The sequence below is a fragment of the Homo sapiens genome, chromosome 17 (genome assembly GCF_000001405.40).
Source record: "Homo sapiens chromosome 17, GRCh38.p14 Primary Assembly".
In the NCBI taxonomy this organism is placed as follows: Eukaryota; Metazoa; Chordata; class Mammalia; order Primates; family Hominidae; genus Homo; species Homo sapiens.
The window spans coordinates 42,949,153-42,968,040 of record NC_000017.11 but is presented as its reverse complement, the minus strand read 5'-3'; the positions used below and the strand labels follow the sequence as shown (position 1 = coordinate 42,968,040).

At 46.6% G+C, this 18,888-nt stretch overlaps 2 protein-coding genes across 3 annotated transcripts in view; both read left to right on the top strand.

Moving 5' to 3' along the window:
* The window catches only part of PTGES3L-AARSD1 (PTGES3L-AARSD1 readthrough), a 30,003-nt gene extending 12,488 nt beyond the window's left edge, over positions 1 to 17,515 (top strand). For both annotated transcript variants that reach the window (NM_001136042.2, NM_025267.4), the window contains exons 7-17: positions 3,804 to 3,935; positions 6,690 to 6,849; positions 10,846 to 10,903; positions 11,481 to 11,637; positions 11,721 to 11,837; positions 12,069 to 12,199; positions 12,817 to 12,883; positions 13,074 to 13,165; positions 14,263 to 14,317; positions 16,147 to 16,241; positions 17,313 to 17,515. In NM_001136042.2, the coding sequence (NP_001129514.2) occupies positions 3,804 to 3,935; positions 6,690 to 6,849; positions 10,846 to 10,903; positions 11,481 to 11,637; positions 11,721 to 11,837; positions 12,069 to 12,199; positions 12,817 to 12,883; positions 13,074 to 13,165; positions 14,263 to 14,317; positions 16,147 to 16,241; positions 17,313 to 17,448 (1,200 nt within the window). In that variant the 3' untranslated portion in view covers positions 17,449 to 17,515. The remainder of the gene's footprint in view (positions 1 to 3,803; positions 3,936 to 6,689; positions 6,850 to 10,845; positions 10,904 to 11,480; positions 11,638 to 11,720; positions 11,838 to 12,068; positions 12,200 to 12,816; positions 12,884 to 13,073; positions 13,166 to 14,262; positions 14,318 to 16,146; positions 16,242 to 17,312) is intronic.
* On the top strand, positions 3,587 to 17,515 carry AARSD1 (alanyl-tRNA synthetase domain containing 1). Its single transcript, NM_001261434.2, has 12 exons — positions 3,587 to 3,639; positions 3,804 to 3,935; positions 6,690 to 6,849; positions 10,846 to 10,903; positions 11,481 to 11,637; positions 11,721 to 11,837; positions 12,069 to 12,199; positions 12,817 to 12,883; positions 13,074 to 13,165; positions 14,263 to 14,317; positions 16,147 to 16,241; positions 17,313 to 17,515. Exons 1-12 carry the CDS (start codon positions 3,601 to 3,603, stop codon positions 17,446 to 17,448), a joined length of 1,239 nt encoding a protein of 412 aa, NP_001248363.1. The 5' UTR covers positions 3,587 to 3,600; the 3' UTR covers positions 17,449 to 17,515.
* Positions 17,516 to 18,888: the final 1,373 nt, after the last annotated feature.

Sequence of the window (18,888 nt, the reverse complement as noted above, 5' to 3'; positions counted from 1 at the left end):
TTATTTATGTTTGAGATAGAGTCTTGCTTTGTTGCCCAGGCTGGAATACAGTGGTACATTCATTATTCATGGAGCCCTGACTTCCTGGGCTCAAGTAATCCTCCTGCCTCAGCCTCCTGGGTAGCTAGGACTACACTACAGCTGACTAAGTTAAAAAATATTTTTGTAGGCTAGGTGCGGTGGCTTATGCTTGTAATCCCAACACTTTGGGAGGCTGAGGTGGGTGGATCACCTGAGGTCAGGAGTTCGAGACCAGCCTGACCAACATGGAGAAACCCTGTCTCCACTAAAAATACAAAATTAGTCAGGCGTGGTGGCTCATGCCTGTAATCCCAGCTGCTTCAGAGGCTGAGGCAGGAGAATGGCTTGAATCCAGGAGGTGGAGGTTGCTGTGAGCCGAGATCACACCATTGCACTCCAGCCAGGGCAACAAGAGCGAAACTCCGTCTCGCTCTATAAAATATATATATATTATATATTAATTTTATATATAAAATATATATTATATATATTAATTTTATATATTATATATAAATTATATATTTAAAATATATAATATATAAATTATATATGATACATATTATATATATTTTATATATTATATATCTACATATATAAATACATATATATTTATATATTATATATTATATTATATATTATATAATATATATTTTATATATTATATTATATATTATATAATATATATTTTATATATTATATTATATATTATATAATATATATTTTATATATTATATTATATATTATATAATATATATTTTATATATTATATTATATATTATATAATATATATTTTATATATTATATTATATATTATATAATATATATTTTATATATTATATTATATATTATATAATATATATTTTATATATTATATTATATATTATATAATATATATTTTATATATATGTAAAGACCTTGTCTTTAGGACAAACTATTTTTTTGTAAAGATTTGCTTGTTGCCCAGGCTGCTCTCAAACTCCTGGCCTTAAGCCTCCTTCCTCGGCCTCCCAAAGTGCTGGGATTACAGGCCTGAGCCACCATCCCTGGCCCCATACTGCATTATAAATACTATAATACCTATAATTTATTTTATACTATGTAGTTCTAAGGTATAATTATATAACATACAAAACAATATATAACATGGAACATAAACATATAGTATATATTACTTACATGCAGTATGTTAAAACTTAATTAGCAGATGTGTTGTGTGTGTCTGTGTGTGTACACAACTGGAATCATACCATCCGCATCTTGCATTGTGCCCTTTTTCATTTAATATATATTGGAGATCTTTACAAGTCAGAACATATAGATCTAACTCATTTTTTTCATGGCTATATGGTATTCCATTGAATGTATTTTTCATAATTTCACAGGTTCTTTATTGAGGGACACGTAGGTCGTTAGTCTTTTACCATATTCTTTTTTTTTGAGACGAAGTCTCGCTCTTGTCCCCCAGGCTGGAATGCGACGGCGTGGTCTCAGCTCACTGCAACCTCCGCATCCCGGGTTCAAGCGATTCTCTTGCCTCGGCTCCCCTAGTAGCTGGGATTACAGGCGCCTGCCACCAGGCCCAGCTAATTTTTGTATTTTTAGTAGAGACGGGGTTTTACCACGTTGGCCAGGCTGGTCTAGAACTCCTGACCTCAGGTGATCCACCTGCCTCGGCCTCCCAAAGTGCCGGGATTACAGGCATGAGCCACCGCGTCCGGCAGTCTTTTACCATTTGCAAACAATATTGCAATCAACATTTAAAAATGTGGATCTTTACATATTTTTGCCAGGATATCTGTAGGGTACATTTCTAGAAGTAGAATTGCTAGGTCAAGGAGTAGATAAAATACATTTAAACATTTTGATAGCTGTTACCAAGTTGCTCTTTGATGAAATTGTACCAATTCTCACTCCTACGAACAATGAGAGTGTTCCATTCTCTAAATCGTTTCAGATATTTGACAAGATAAAAATTAGCACCTGGTTTAATTTGCTTTTTTTTTTTTTTTTTTTTTTTTTTTTTTTGAGACGAAGTCTCGCTTTGTCAGCCAGGCTGGAGTGCAGTATCGCGATCTCAGTTCACGGCAACCTCCGCCTGCCAGGTTCAAGCGATTCTCCTGCTTCAGCCTCCTTAGAAGCTGGGATGTAATCCCAGCCTGTAGGTGCCCGCCACCACACCGAGCTAATTTTTGTATTTTTAGTAGACACAGGGTTTTGCCATGTTGGCCAGGCTGGTATCGAACTTCTGGCCTCAGCTGATCCAGGCACCTCGGCCTCCCAAACTGCTGGGATTACAGATGTGAGCCACTGTGTCTGGCCCAAACTATTTTAATGTAATGTAATGTAATTTTCTTGAGACGTAGTCTCGCTGGGTTACCCAGGCTGGAGTGCAGTGGTACGATTTCGGCTCACTGCAACCTCCTCCTCTCGGGTTAAAGTGATTCTCCTGCCTCAGCCTCCCGTGTAGCTGGGATTATATAGGCGTGTGCCACCACGCCTGGCTAATGTTTTTGTGTTTTTAGTAGAAACAGGGTTTCACCATGTTGGCCACGCTGGCCAAATTGTTCTTCTTTTTTTTTTTTTTTTTTTTTTTTGAGACGGAGTCTCGCTCTGTCGCCCAGGCTGGAGTGCAATGGTGCGATCTCGGCTCACTGCAAGCTCCGCCTCCCAGGTTCACGCCATTCTCCTGCCTCAGCCTCCGGAGTAGCTGGGACTACAGGCGTCCGCCACCACGCCCGGCTAATTTTTTGTATTTTTAGTAGAGACGGGATTTCACCGCGTTAGTCAGGATGGTCTCGATATCCTGACCTCGTGATCCGCCCGCCTCGGCCTCCCAAAGTGCTGGGATTACAGGCGTGAGTCACCGCGCTCGGCCTTTTTTTTTTTTTTTTTTTTTTTTTTTAATTGAGACGGAGTCTCGCTCTGTCGCCCAGGCTGGAGTGCAGTGGTGCAATCTCTGCTCACTGCAACCCCGCCTCCCGGGTTCCAGCGATTCTCCTGCCTCAGCCTCCCGGGTAGCTGGGATTACAGGCGCCCGCCACCACGCCCGGCTAATTTTTGTATTTTTAGTAGAGACGGAGTTTCGCTATGTTGGCCAGGCTGGTCTCGAACTCCTGGCCTGAGGTGATCCACCCGCCTCGACCTCCCAAAATGCTGGGATTACAGGCGTGAGCCACCTCCCCCAGCTCCTTGCTTTCTATTTCTACTGGGCAGTGCTGCTCAGTAACCATGCCAGTCCCGTCCCCGCCTCTATGCGCTGGGATTCCGCAGCCAGAATACTTACATCCCTGGGGCCCCAAGGGGCTCACTAAACCACGTGCCTTGTCCAGGTCGCGTTTTTTTGTTTTTGTTTGTTTGTTTTTTTCCTCCTGGTCTTGTCCTTTGTAAAGCCTTAGAACAGTCGTTAAACAACCCAGCAAATATGCAATTCGCGTTTTCAGTAAATTTATCCAAACCGCATTCCATTCCTTACCCTCCTGCTTCTGCGCAGACAAGCGCCCTTGATGACGTTTGTCCCACGTCGCTCTCCGTTCGCTCCCAGGCTTCTCTGCGCGTGCGCCTCCTCACACGCCTGCAGGTATGGCGTTCTGGTGTCAGCGTGACAGTTATGCCCGAGAGGTACGGCGTCACGGCGAGGCACTTGAGACTGCCGGGCCGGCAAGGCGGTTTGGGGAAGAGGGCGCCACGTGTAGGGAGTGCCAACATGGCATTCTGTCCTGGTGTGGAGAGGGCTAGGGCTAGGGCTGGGGTCGGGGCTTATTCTCTCATTCCTCTCTGTTCAGTTCACCACCACCGTGGTCTCCTGCTGTCCCGCGGAGCTGCAGACTGAAGGGAGCAACGGCAAGAAAGAAGTGCTGAGCGGTTTCCAAGTGGTGCTGGAAGACACAGTGCTTTTCCCTGAGGGCGGGGGACAGGTACCAAAACGATCTCTTCCCAGGAAGCCCCCAGTTTCTTTGTGCTCAGGCCGAAATGCTCTCCTGCCCCTTTTTTCTCAGCCATAATGAATTCAGATGAGCTTTAGTTTAATTCATTTTGTTATTCATTTAATGAGTATTTATCAGCAATTGCTTATCTAGACATAACATATGCTAGATATTATTCCAGGCTGTAAGGATAACCGGTGAACAACACAGTGCCTTTATATACGTGGAATGTTTATTGAAGACAACTGTGTGTGCTAGGTATAATAAGTAATAAACAAAAACCAAGTAAAGGGAAAGAGAGTGATGGGATGCTTGTCTAGATGAAGGGTAAGTTATTTCAGTAGAGACCTAAACGAAGTGAGGGGGTGAGTCTTTGCAATTATCTAGTGGTGCTGGGGGGCAGAGGGAGTATTCAGGCAGGTAGAATAGCAGGTGCAAAGGCCCCAAGGAAGGAATTAGCTTCGGGTTTTAGGGACTGAAAAAGATGTTCCTGAAGGAGTTCAGGTGAGATAGACGGGTTACAGTAGTACAGCAGAGAGCATATTTATCAGTGCTGTGATGAGGACTAGGTACAACATGAGCGCAAGTGAGGTACATTGTGAAGATGGAAGAGGAGGATAATAACACCAAAGGTGGGCATTATGAGAAAGGCTTTTCTTTCTTTTCTTTTCTTTCTTTCTTTCTTTTTTTTTTTGAGACAGAATCTCTCGCTGTCATCAGGCTGAAGTGCAGTGGCATGATCTCAGCTCTGCAACCTCCGCCTCCTGGGTTCAAGTGATTCTCCTGTCTCAGCCTCCCAAGTAGCCTGACCAACATGATGAAACCTTGTCTCTACTAAAAATATAAAAATTAACCAGGCATACTGGCAGGCCCCTGTAGTCCCAGCTACTCGGGAGGCTGAGGCATGAGAATCACTTGAACCGGGAGGCTGAAGTTGCAGTGAGCCAAGATTGTGCCACTGCACTTCAGCGTGGGGGACAGAACAAGACTCCGTCTCAAAAGAAAAAAAAAAGGTGTATTAAGGTGTGTGGGCAGCGAACCATGCAGGTTATTTTCTTTCTTTTTTATTTTTAAGAGACAGGATCTTGCTATGTCACCCAGGCTGGAGTGCAGTGGCCTGATCTAGCTCACTGCAGCCTCGAACTCCCAGGCTCAAGCAATCCTCCTGTTTTAGCCTCTCCAGTAGTGGGGACTACAGGCGCACAACCAACATGCTTGGCTGCTTTTTTGTAGAGATGAGGTCTCACTTTATTGCCCAGGCTGATCTTGAGCTCCTGGCCTCAAACAGTCCTCCCACCTTGGCCTCCCAAAGGCTGGGCCTACAGGTGTGAGCCACTGCCCTGGCCTCCACTCAGGTTCTTAAGCAAATAAGTGACATGAGAGAACATGTTCAGTAGACTTGGTATTGAGAGAGTTCCAATTTCATATCAGTCATTATTATGGTGATTTTCCCAGTATGAAGATTTCCCTGATCTGCTGAAGGAAAACCTGTGACCTCAAGTATCCATAGAAGGTCTCATTTTAGACAGCATTTCTTTCAGGAAGTCTTTTTTTGATTCCCCAAGACTGTTAGGTCTCTTTCCTTTGAGGTTCTCTAGCGTCATATACTTTTTCATATTATGGCATGTTATAGGTCATATTGCAATTGTCTGTTTTCCAGCCTCTGTTCTCTAGACTCTTAAGTTCCATGAGGTACCATATCTTGTTTACATTGTATTCTTGGGCTGGCACAGTCTTTTGTAAGCAGTTGGCACTTGAAATGTTTTAAAATGAATGAACTTTTTTTTTTTTTTTTTTTGAGATGGTGTCTTGCTCTGTTGCCAGGCTGGAGCGCAGCGGCGTGATCTCGGCTTACTGCAATCTCCGTCTGCCAGGTTCAAGCAATTCCCCTGCCTCAGTCTCCCGAGTAGCTAGGACTACAGGTGTGCACCACCATGCCCAGTTAATTTTTTGTATTTTAGTAGAGACGGGGTTTCACCATGTTGGCCAGGATGGTCTTGATCTCCTGACCTTGTGATCCGCCCACCTCGGCCTTCCAAAGTACTGGGATTACAGGTGTGAGCCACTGTACCTGGCCCTTTTTTTTTTTTAAATGAGACAGTGTCTCACTCTGTCACCCAGGCTGGAGTGTAGTGGAGCAATCATAGCACACTGCAGTCTCAACCTTTTGGGCTCAAGTGATTCTCCCACCTCAGCCTCCCAAGTAGCAGGGAGTATCATGGCCAGCTAATTTTTTATTTTTCATAGAGGTGGGGTCTCACTGTGTTGTCCAGTCTGATCTCAAGCGATCCTCCTGCCTTGGTCTCCCAAAGTGGTGGGATTACAGGAATAAGCTACCATGCCCAGCCTAAATGAACATTTTTGAATCTAATTCTAATACCACTGCAAGAGGATGGAGTGGAGGGAGGGAGGAAAAATCAGATCATTTTAGAGACTACAAAAGAATCTAGACTAAGGCAAGGAGAGTTGAGGATTAAGATTCTTCGGGTTTTACTAAAATTTTTGTTGCTGTAGTTACAATCTCTTTAATTCTGTTATTCTGAAGATCACAACACATAGGTGTTTAGAATGAAAAGGACTGAGAATCCTCTCATGGAACAAAGTGGACTCATTTCACTTGGCATTGCTTTCTCCCTCTCCCTTAGGGAGCCCAGATTCTGGGTCTCTCACCCTAGAGGGTCTTTGTACCTAGAAGTTAGGGTGAGCCCTGCCTTGCCATTGATTACGTTTACTTATTTCCACCAGCCTGATGACCGTGGTACAATCAATGACATCTCTGTGCTGAGAGTGACTCGCCGTGGGGAACAGGCTGATCATTTCACCCAGACACCCCTGGATCCAGGAAGCCAGGTTCTGGTCCGGGTAGATTGGGAGCGGAGGTTTGACCACATGCAGCAGCATTCAGGTAAAGGCTGGGATGGGGGACATAACACCGGAGCAGTTGCCATGTATGGGGATGCTGTGATGACTGAGACGTAGTTTGGGTTCTCTAGGAGTTAACCTTTTGGAAAAGACAGACTATTCAGAATCAGCTGTAATTCAGGAAGGATATCCTAAATGTTATAACAGCAACATGAACAACTGAAGTAAAAAAAAGTATTAGAATAACTGCTGGATTTAGGTATTATCAACTTCCCACTCGATATCTCCATCTGGATGTCTCACAGCCTTTTCAAACTCAAAATGTCCAAAATGAAACAAAAAGCCTTCCCCTCCCTCCTGGTCTTTCATTAGCATCCTGTGTGTTCATCGCAGGGCATCAGCATGCACCTAGTCACTCAAGTTCTGGAAGTCATTCCAGATACCTCTTCAGGCATAGACAGCCAGCCAATCACTGAGTCCTGTTGGTTTCTTTTCTTTTTTTTTTTTTTTTTTGACACAGAGTTTCGCTCTGTCACCCAGGCTGGAGTGCAATGGTGCGATCTCGGCTCACTGCAACCTCTGCCTCTCGGGTTCAAGCGATTCTCCTGCCTCAGCCTCCCGAGTAGCTGGGATTATAGGCCCCCACCACCATGCCCAGCTAATTTTGTATTTTTAATAGAGACGGTGTTTCACCATATTGGTCAGGCTGGTCTTGAACTCCTGACCTCAGATGATCCGCCTGCCTTGACCCCGCAAAGTACAGGCATGAGCCACACCCCCCCAGCATGTTGGTTTGTTTTCTAAATGTCTGTCCACTTCTTTCCACAGTCACTGTCATCCTAGTCCCAGCTCCTAGCTGTCTTCCCCCTGGACCTCTCTAACAGTTTCCTAATTGATTGCCCCACATTCAGTCTGGCTCCTCTGTAGCCCATTCTCCACATAGCACCAGAACAGTCTTTTTTTTTTTGAGTTGGAGTCTCGCTCTGTCGCCCAGGCTGGAGTGCAATGGCATGATCTCGGCTCACTGCAACCTCACCTCCCGGGCTCAAGTGATCCTCTTGCCTTGGCCTCCCGAGTAGCTGGGATAACAGGTGCGTGCCACCATGCCTGGCTAATTTTTGTATTTTTAGTAGAGACGGTGTTTCACCATGTTGGCCAGGCTGGTCTCGAACTCCAGACCTCGTGATCCGCCCGCCTCGGCTTCTCAATGTGCTGAGATTACAGGCGGGAGCCACTGCGCCCAGCTGAACAATCTTAAAAATGAAAATATGGCAGCCAGGTGCGGTGGCTCACGCCTGTAATCCCAGCACTTTGGGAGACCGAGGTGGGCAGATCATGAAGTTAAGAGATCGAGACCATCCTGGCCAACATGATGAAACCCTGTCTCTACTAAAAATACAAAAATTAGCCAGGCATGGTGATGCGCGCCTGTAGTCCTAGCTGCTCAGGAGGCTGACACAGGAGAATCGCTTTAACCTGGGAGGTGGAGGTTGCAGTGAGCCGAGATCGCGCCACTGCACTCCAGCCTGGCGACAGAGCGAGACTCCATCTCAAAAAAAAAAAAAGAAAAGAGAAATGGCTGGGCACTGTGGCTCACTGCTGTAGTCCTAGCACTCTGGGAGGCTGACACGGGAAGATCGCTTGAGGCTAGGAATTCCATACCAGCCTGAGCAAGATAGTGAAACCCTGTCTCAGAAAATAAATGTAGGCTGCTCGCGATGGCTCACGCCTGTAATCCCAGCATTTTGGGAGGCCAAGTCGGACAGATCATGAGGTCAGGCATTTGAGGCCAGGAGTTCGAGACCAGCCTGGCCAACATTGTGAAACCCTGTCTCTACTAAAAACACAAAAATTAGCTGGGCGTGGTGGTGCATGCCTGTAGTCCCAGCCACTCAGGAGGCTGAGGCAGAATTGCTTGAACCCAGGAGCCAGAGGTGGCAGTGAGCTGAGATGGCACCACTGCACGCCAGCCTGGGCAACAGAGCAAGACTCCGTCTCAAAAAAGTAAATATAACTTTTTTTTTTTTTTTTTTTTTTTGAGACAAAGTCTCGCTCTGTCACCCAGGCTGGAGTGCAGTGGTGCAGTCTTGGCTCACTGCAACCTCTGCCTACTGGGTTCGGGTGATTCTCCTGCCTCAGCCTCCTGAGTAGCTGGGATTACGGGCACGCACCACCACATCCGGCTAATTTTTGTATTTTTAGTAGAGATGGGGGTTCACCATGTTGGCCAGGCTGGTCTTGAACTCCTGACCTTGTGATCTGCTCGCCTCGGCCTCCCAAAGTGCTGGGATTACAGGCTTGAGCCACCGCACCTGGCATAAATAAATATAAGTTAAAGTGGAAATGTAAACAAGAAAAATAAAAACAGACTGAGCGTGGTGGCTCATGCCTGTAATCCCAGGCACTTTGGGAAGCTGAGGTGGGCAGATCACCTGAGGTCAGGAGTTTGAGACCAACCTGGTCAACATGGTGAAACCCTGACTCTACTAAAAGTACAAAAATTAGGCATGGTGGCGTGCACCTGTAATCCCAGCTACTTGGGAGGCTGAGGCAGGAGAATCGCTTGAACCCGAGAGGCAGAGGTTGCAGTGAGCTGAGATTGCACCACTGCACTCCAGCCTGGGTGACAGAGCGATACTCCATCTCAAAATAAATAAATAAATAAATACAAAAATAAATAAAAATAAATATGTAAAATGAAATAAATTTTATTTAATTTTATTTGTTATTTTTATTTTTTTTTGAGACAGAGTCTCACTTTGTTGCCCAGGCTGGAGTGCCGTGGTGCAATCTTGGCTCACTGCAACTTCCACCCCTGGGATTCAAGCAACTCAGCCTCCTGAGTAGCTGGGATTACAGGTGCATGCCACCACACCCGGCTAATTTTTGTATTTTTAGTAGAGACGAGGTTTCACCACGTTGTTTCAGGCTGGTCTCAAACTCTTGACCTCATGATCCACTTGCCTTGGCCTCTCAAAGTGCTGGGATTACAGGAGTGAGCCACCGCGCCTGACTGAAATAAATTTTAAAAAATGAAAATATTATGTCACTCCTCTGCTTAAAGCTCTTCAGAGGCTTCCTGTAGGTCTTCGTGTAAAGCCAAACTTTTTACCATGGCATACAAGCTGTATCTGGGTGGCTCTTGTCTACTGCTGTAGCCTCATCTGGTGTCCCTTGACCTCTTGCTGGCTGCATCCTGGCCTTGCTTGTCATCTCTGGATTCCTTTGACATGCGCTACTTCTTTCTTCCTTAAGGCCTTTGGCTGTCTTGTTCCCTCTTCCTTGATAGTTCCTCCTCTTTCTCCTTTTCTTCCTCCTCCTCTTCCTCTTCTTTCTCCTCATCATCACTCTTGTCAATCAGGGATGCTGCTGTATCTCTTATGTCAAGCCCTGTGCCTTGCATTTGGTAGGTACTCAATAAATACTTGTTGAATGGATGAATGCTGCATATTGGAACTTAAGTTCACTGGGCACAGTGGCTCACACCTGTAATCCCAGCATTTTGGGAGGCCAAGGCAGGTGGATCACTTGAGGTCAAGAGTTCAAGACCAGCTTGGCCAACGTGGTGAAACCCCATCTCTACTAAAAGTAGAAAAATTAGCCGGGCACGGTGATGCACGTCTATAATCCCAGCAACTCAGGAGGCTGAGGCACGAGAATTGCTTGATCCTGGGAGGCGGAGGCTGCAGTGAGCCCCTGCACTCCAGCCTGGGCAACAGAATGAGACTGTCTCAAAAAAAAAAAAAAAAAAAAAAAAAGGAAGTTAAGTTCAAGTCCAGCCCCTTATAAGTTACATTGCCATGGCAAGTTATTTGATCTCTCTAGGCTTCAGTTTCCTCATCTGTGAAATGGTATCATAAGGCCTCTTGCAGAATTCTCATTGTGATTTTCAATAAAGTATCTAAAGTGTATTACCCAGTGCTTAGCAGGTCTTCAACAAGGAGAATTTCTGTGCTTTTATCATTGTAGCTCATATTTTATCATTGTGGGAGTATGTAGGCTTCTCACTTTTCTCCTGTCTCTGGCTCTCTTTGCTTAGGGCAGCATCTCATCACGGCAGTTGCTGACCATCTATTTAAGCTGAAGACAACATCATGGTGAGTGGGAGGCATAAGACTAACTGTAGGCAGGCCCATCCCAGCACTGGGAGGGAGGCGGAGGTGGGAGAATTGCTTGAGCCGGGGAGATTAAGGCTGTGGTGAGCTGTGATTGCCACCAAATGGCAGCATGGGTGACAGCGAGCTTGTCTTAAAAAAAAAAAAAAAAAAGGCCAGGCGCAGTGGCTCACGCTTGTAATCCCAGCACTTTGGGAGGCCGAGGCGGGCGGATCACGAGGTCAGGAGATCGAGACCATCCTGGCTAACACGGTGAAACCCCGTCTCTACTAAAAATACAAAAAATTAGCCGGGCGTGGTGGCGGGCGCCTGTAGTCCCAGCTACTCGGGAGGCTGAGGCAGGTGAATGGCGTGAACCCGGGAGGCGGAGCTTGCAGTGAGCCGAGATCGCGCCACTGCACTCCAGCCTGGGCGACAGAGCGAGACTCCGTCTCAAAAAAAAAAAAAAAAAAAAAAAAAGTGGTGAGAGGGTATGCTTGTTCCAGTTTTTAGAGGAAAAGCTTTCAGCTTTTTCTTGTTCAGTAAGATATGTTATCTGTGGCCACTGTACTTCTGACAGGGAGTTAGGGAGATTTCGGAGTGCGATTGAGCTGGACACCCCCTCTATGACTGCAGAGCAAGTAGCTGCCATTGAGCAGAGCGTCAATGAAAAAATCAGAGATCGGCTGCCTGTGAATGTCCGAGAACTGAGCCTGGATGATCCTGAGGTGGAGCAGGTAAGGGTAGAGCCAGAGGGATGGTTTCTGCGGAATGATTCCTCATCAGATTCAGACAGTCCCTCCCCTCTCCTTGAGTCCAGGTGAGTGGCCGGGGTTTGCCTGATGATCATGCTGGGCCCATTCGGGTTGTTAACATCGAGGGCGTTGATTCCAACATGTGCTGTGGGACCCATGTGAGCAATCTCAGTGACCTTCAGGTAAGTGAGGAACGGCTGTGGAGTGGCTGAGAAGAGGGATTGGGGGAGAGGGGATCACATGGGGCTGGGAGTGGGAGAGGGGGATAATCGAGGAGTCCTAAGTGAAATCTCCCCTTCACTGTTTCAGAGCTGAGGAACAGATAGGTTTCTCCTGCCTTCAGGTTCTAGGATCCGCTGTGGTTTATGCATGTGCACACGTGTGTGTGTGTGTTACCCCCTTGCCTCATGTAGGTCATTAAGATTCTGGGCACTGAGAAGGGGAAAAAGAACAGAACCAACCTGATATTTCTGTCTGGGAACCGGGTGCTGAAGTGGATGGAGAGAAGTCATGGAACTGAAAAAGCACTGACTGCTCTGCTTAAGTATGCCTGTTTCAGTACCTTCGATTACCTCCCATTTCTGAGATTTTCGACATAATCTCTTACCTCTGGGAGATAAGATGCAATCGTAAATGATAAAGTGCGGCCAGGCGTGGTGGCCCACATCTGTAATCCCAGCACTTTGGGAGGCCGAGGTGGGCGGATCACGAGGTCAGGAGATCAAGACCTTCCTGGCTAACACCGTGAAACCCCGTCTCTACTAAAAATACAAAAAGAACTTAGCCAGGCATGGTGGTGGGCGCCTGTAGTCCCAGCTACTCGAGAGGCTGAGGCAGGAGAATGGCGTGAACCCGGGAGGTGGAGCTTGCAGTGAGCCAAGATCGTTCCACTGCACTCCAGCCTGGGCGATAGAGCAAGACTCTGTCTCAAAAAAAAAAAAAAAAAAAAGATCAAGTGCTTTGGATAGTAAATCAGAACCACGAAAAGTGGTTAATTCCTTTGTATGTTTTCTCCCAGTTGCCTAAGAGACCTCCTCAGAATATCTCCTGGTCCCTGACTGCAGGGAGGCACCATAGCAAGAAGGAAATTATTGATTTATGTCCCCAACATCAGAAACGACTGGGAAGCTGCGCAGGTCTCCTCTGACCTTTCTCTTTCAGGTGTGGAGCAGAGGATCATGTGGAAGCAGTGAAAAAGCTCCAGAACTCCACCAAGATCCTGCAGAAGGTGATTTATTCCATGGAGGGTAGAGAGGGCATGGGCCCTGCCTAGGATAGGCTCTGCAGACTTGGTCTTCTGCCTAAACAGATGTGTAGTTTGTCAAAGTGGGAGTGAGGGGAGAATGAGGTGGAGGGAAGCTGATACTCTCTATTGTTATCCTTTCCATTTATCTACTGAGTTACCATATCCATTTCAGAATAACCTGAATCTGCTCAGAGACCTGGCTGTGCACATTGCCCATAGCCTCAGGAACAGTCCAGACTGGGGAGGTGTGGTCATATTACACAGGTGAGAAATTAGGAGCTGGACACAAGGAAGGGGAACTGTGTTGGGCTTAGGGCTCAGTGTCTTCTCTATATGCAATGTACAGTGGGAGGTGGATTGCTCACTGGTATTCTCAAGGTTGAGTAGATCCTAAGAAATATGTTACTGGCCGGGCGCGGTGGCTCACGCCTGTAATCCCAGCACTTTGGGAGGCTGAGGCGGGTGGATCACAAGGTCAGGAGTTCGAAACCAGCCTGGCCAGCATGGTGAAACCCCTTCTCTACTAAAAGTACAAAAATTAGCTAGGCATGGTAGTACGCGCCTGTAGTCCCAGCTACTCAGGAGGCTGAGGCAGGAGAATCACTTGAACCCGGGAGGCAGAGGTTGTGGTGAGTGGAGATCACGCCACAGCACTCCGGCCTGGACCAACAGAGTGAGACCCCATCTCAAAAATATAAAAAAAAAAAGAAATATGTTACATACCAGGCCTCCTGGGTTTGATATTAACATATTTACTGTAACTCTGTATCTTTTGTTTTTTGTGTTTTTTTTGAGATGGAGTCTTAGTGTGTCTGGAGTGCAGTGGCATGATCTCGGCTCAGTGTAACCTGTGCCTCCTGGGTCCAAGCGGTTCTCGTGCTTCAGCCTCCCGAGTAGCTGGGGGATCACAGGCATGTGCCACCACACCAGGCTAACTTTTGTATTTTTGGTAGAGCTGGGGTTTCCCCATGTTGGCCAGGCTGGTTTTGAACTCCTGACCTCAAGCAATCTGCCCACCTTGGCCTCCCAAAGTGCTGAGATTACAGGTGTGAGCCACTGTGTCCAGCCTGTATCTTTCTTTAGGACTGTCCCCTACCTCCTTTACTCTCTAACAGATTTCTGCTTATCCTGGTGAATCCTATTTAAGGGAGATGGAAACAAACCTGGAGGTTGATTACAAACTGCAGAGGCTGAGAAGGGCAGCTTGCTGGCTTTCAGCCAGTACTCTCTCTTGGCTAAGGGATATGGGACTTTATGTGTACATAGGCAGCAAGGCCAGCCTCAGAAGGAGGGGCCAGGCTTCCTGCAGTTTCACAGCCACCACTCCAACCTGGGTCTCATGTCTGTGTCCTTTGTTGTAGGAAGGAGGGTGATTCAGAGTTCATGAATATCATTGCCAATGAGATTGGGTCAGAGGTAAGAGGAGCATGAGATTCTCTACCCCGGCCTGGATAGAGACCTAGGGAGACATAAGTGAGGGGCGCTAGTTTAGCCAAAGTCCCTCCACATGAACACATGAGGAGGAGGAAATAGCCATTCATTCAATACTGTTTTCTTAGTACTAGCTATATGCCAAGCTCTGTTTTAGGTGTTGAGCTAGATCTATGTTATTGCTCTCTCTGGGGCTGTGATGTTTATTAGCTTCTGAGCTCCTTTCATCAGAGCTCTAGCTCCTCAAAGCCATTCAGGTTTATGTGTGCTGGGGATCCAATATTAGAAATATATCAGTGGGCTGGTCGCGGTGGCTCACGCATGTAATCCCAGCACTTTGGGAGGCCAAGGTGGGTGGATCACTTAAGATCAGGAGACCAGCCTAGCCAACATGGTGAAACCCCATCTCTACTAAAAATAGAAAAATCAGGCCAGGCATGGTGGCTCACGCCTGTAATTCCAGCACTTTGGGAGGCTGAGGCGGGTGGATTGCCTCAGCTCAGGAGTTCGAGACCACCCTGGGCAACATGGTAAAACCCTATCTCTACTAAAATACAAAAAATTAGCTAGGCGTGGTGGCATGCGCCTGTAATCCCAGCTACTCGGGAGGCTGAGGCATGAGAATCTCTTGAGCCTGGTAGGCAGAGGTTGCAGTGAGCTGAGATTGTGCCACAGCACTCTAGCATGGGCTACAGAGTGAGATTCTGTCTCAAAACAGAAGACAAAAATTTGCTGGGTGTGGTGGCAGGTGCCTGTAGACCCAGCTACTTGGGAGGTTGAGGCAGGAGAATTGCTTGAACCCTGGAGGCTGAGGTTGCAGTGAGCCGAGATTGCGCCACTGCACTCCAGCCTGGGCAACACAGACTGTCTCCAAAAAAAAAAAAAAAAAGTAAATACAGGAGTGGGCAAGCCCCTTTGAAAGCCATCCCCGTCCATTTTCCTCTTCCTCTGGCTTTACTTACTCTTCCCACTCCTGATGGTCTCTAGCCTAGAGATTTCCAGGTCTTTTGTTTGTTTGTTTGTTTGTTTGTTTTTTTCAGAGACAGAGTCTTGCTCTGTCACCCAGGCTGGAGTACAGTGGCGTGATTATGGCTCACTGCAGTCTTGAACTCCTGGGCTCAAGCAGTCCTCCCACGTCAGCCTCCTGAGTAGTTGGGACTGCAAGCATGAGCCACCATGCCCCACTATCTCTTTTGTATTTACTCCAGAACCCTTCTTTGGAATGCCTACTGTGGGTAAAGCGTTGTGTATCTCTCTTTTCATAATTCTTCTGTATAGACAGAACTGATTCTCAAGAAGCTCATATTCTAGTCTGGGAGACAAATATGTATGTCGACATTTATAATTCAGAATGATAGAGTGATGAATGCTAGAGGTGGAGGAGCACATTACCTGAAGGATAGGGAGGTTTCAGGGGAGGGGCCCTTGAAGACTGCTTAGAGGTCATCAGACAGACAAGGGGCAGAGGCGGCCAGGCAGAGGGAAACCTGGTGGTTTAGGCAGTGGCAGGGAAAGGATGTGTGGTGGGGAAAAGTTTGCAAGAGTGAAACCATGAAAGGCATTTTCTGCTTAGCCAGGATCAGCAGTCTTCTGCTGCCTTCTTAATGTTTCACCTAAGTTCCCATAGTTGCTCTCAAAAAGTTTCTTGGCCCTCGTGGGCCAGTGTGGAGGGGCTGTATCATCATTCATCAGGAGCGTCACTTGGTGGTTTAGGGGGAAATAATCTATTCTTAAGATTGAAGAGAGTGCAGGATTTGGGGGGTTGACTCTACATCCTTCAGTATCAGAGCTTATCTCCTTGTCTTACCTCCTAGGAGACCCTCCTGTTCTTAACTGTGGGCGATGAGAAAGGTGGTGGACTCTTCTTACTGGCAGGGCCACCTGCGTCTGTGGAGACCCTGGGGCCCAGGTAATTCTTTGTGGACTCTCTTGCACATGTAGTAGAGCCTGTATCCTACAAATACATTCCTTTACTGAGTCAAAGGACCATCACATCTGCGATCTCATTTAATTCACATCATGGGCATGTGAGGTGGGCTGAGCAGAGATAATTATTACTACTGTCATTTCCAGTTTGACAGTTGAAGGTCTTTTGGCTCCACATCTCACATGTATGTTTTTGTTTTTGTTTTTATGAAATGTGTTTGTTTTTGTTTTTTGAGATGGAGTCTTAGTCTGTTGCCCAGCCTGGAGAGCCCAGGCTACTCAGCTCACTGCAGCCACCACCTCCCAGGTTTAAGCAATTTTCCTGCCTCAGCCACTCAAGTAGCTGGGATTACAGGTGCACATAACCATACCCGTCCAATTTTTTGTATTTTTAGTACAGATAGGGTTTCACCATGTTGGCCAGGCTGGTCTCGAACTCCTGACCTCAAGTGATCCACCTGCCTTGCCCTCCCAAAGTGCTGGGATTACAGGTGCTCACCCTGCTCTCTGGAGATTAACATAATTTATCTAGCCCAATTCATAGACACTGATGTTGTTTCCAGTTATTCACTCTTATGTGATGATGGTACATATATCTTTGTGCATATGTGCAAGTGTTTTTTTGAGACAAAGTTTCACTCTTGTTGCCCAGGCTGGAGTGCAATGGCACCATCTCGGCTCACTGCAACCTCTGCCTCCCGGGTTCAAGCAATTCTCCTGTCTCAGCTTCCTGAGTAGCTGGGATTATGGCGCATACCACCATGCCCGGCTGATTTTTTTATTTTTAGTAGAGACGGGGTTTCATCCTATTGGTCAGGCTGGTCTTGAAGTCCTGACCTCAGGTGATCCACCCACTTTGGCCTCCCAAAGTGCTGGGATTACAGGTGTGAGCCACCATGCCCAGCCTATGTGCAAGTGTTTTCAAGAAAGATTCCTAGAAGTCATCTACTCTTCTTATCCCTCTCCCAGTCCCTGGAAAAAGACTCAGAGCTGCCCTTGTTTTTTTTTGTGACTTTTCCCTCAAAGTCTCCCTGACTATACCTCTGTTCCCCAGGGTGGCTGAGGTCCTGGAAGGCAAAGGAGCAGGGAAGAAAGGCCGTTTTCAGGGCAAGGCCACCAAGATGAGCCGGCGGATGGAGGCGCAGGCGCTTCTCCAGGACTACATCAGCACGCAGAGTGCTAAGGAGTGAGGGCTTAGGGCACTCACCTCCTGTTTCCACAGGAATCTTTTGGTCAATAAAATAGATTGACTCAGAATGGTTGCGCTACCACTTGTATTTATATGACTAATTCGTACTGTATACTCCATTGTGCTTGTGTGGTTACTTTCCGTTTATAAATAGATAATTTTCTAATTTAGTTCATGCACTGTAATGTTTAGAAGGTGGTGGATTAATTTATACCAAACCTTGTGCTTTTGCACTCAGTTGGATAAGAAATGAACATCTGATCAGCTGAGTCCACTGCTCCCATAATTTTGTTATAATCCACAAAGGCACATGGCTTTTTCCCGCCCCTACCGCCCCACCCCCTGAGATGGACTCTTGCTTTGTTGCCCAGGCTGGATATAGTGGTGTGATCTCAGCTCACTGCAACCTCTGCCTCCCGGGTTGAAGGGATTTTCCTGCCTCAGCCTCCAGAGTAGCCAGGATTACAGGTGTGTGCCACCATGCCTGGCTGATTTTTTTGTTTTTGTTTTTTGTTTTTGTTTGAGATGGAGTCTCGCTCTGTCACCAGGCTGGAGTGCGGTGGTGCGATCTTGGCTCACTGCAACCTCTACCTCCCAGGTTCAAACTAATCTCCTGCCTCAGCCTCCCGAGTAGCTGGAACTACAGGCTCGCACCACCATGCCAGCTAATTTTTGTATTTTTAGTAGAGATGGGGTTTCACTATGTTGGCCAGGATGGTCTCCACCTCTTGACCTCGTGATCCGCCCACCTTGGCCTCCCAAAGTGTTGGGATTACAGGCATGAGCCACTGTGCCCAGCTGGCTTCTTAGTTTTCTTTCCATTTCTGTTGTCTACTTCAATCACAGTATCACTGTGGAATGTTGACAGCATTGTCACCTTCTTGGGGTAAGTGCTGCAGTTGCAAGCATCACTGGCGAGTATTCTCAGGGCAAACAGGAAAAGGGTTAAAGTAAGAATCAGAGATTAAGAGGGACGTGTAATGATGAAAAATATAACAGTTCTAAATTTGTATGCATCTAATAACAGCCTCAAAATACATAAAGCAGACATTGACAGATCTCAAGGGAGAAACGGACAAATCTGTAATCAACGGAAGACTTAAGCTCATCTTTCATTAGTGATAGAGCAAATGGAAGCATAATATGTTCAGGAGCACAGGCTTTGAAGTTTCACAGACCTGGGTAGAAATACTGGATTTGCACATCCAGGAAAGGTGATAAAACAAAGATCCAGTCACAGCTTTAGCTAGAACAAAGATGGTTAAGGCCTAGACAGCCAGGATGAAATAACAGAGGAGAAATACAAAAGCTGACATCCAGGGGAGATAACCTGTGGCTGTGGCTGTGGCTGTGTTCAGCTATTTGTTCTTCCGACTCTGAAAGGAACTTTTTTTTTTTTTGGAGATAAGAGTCTTGTTCTGCCACCTAGGCCGGAGTGCAG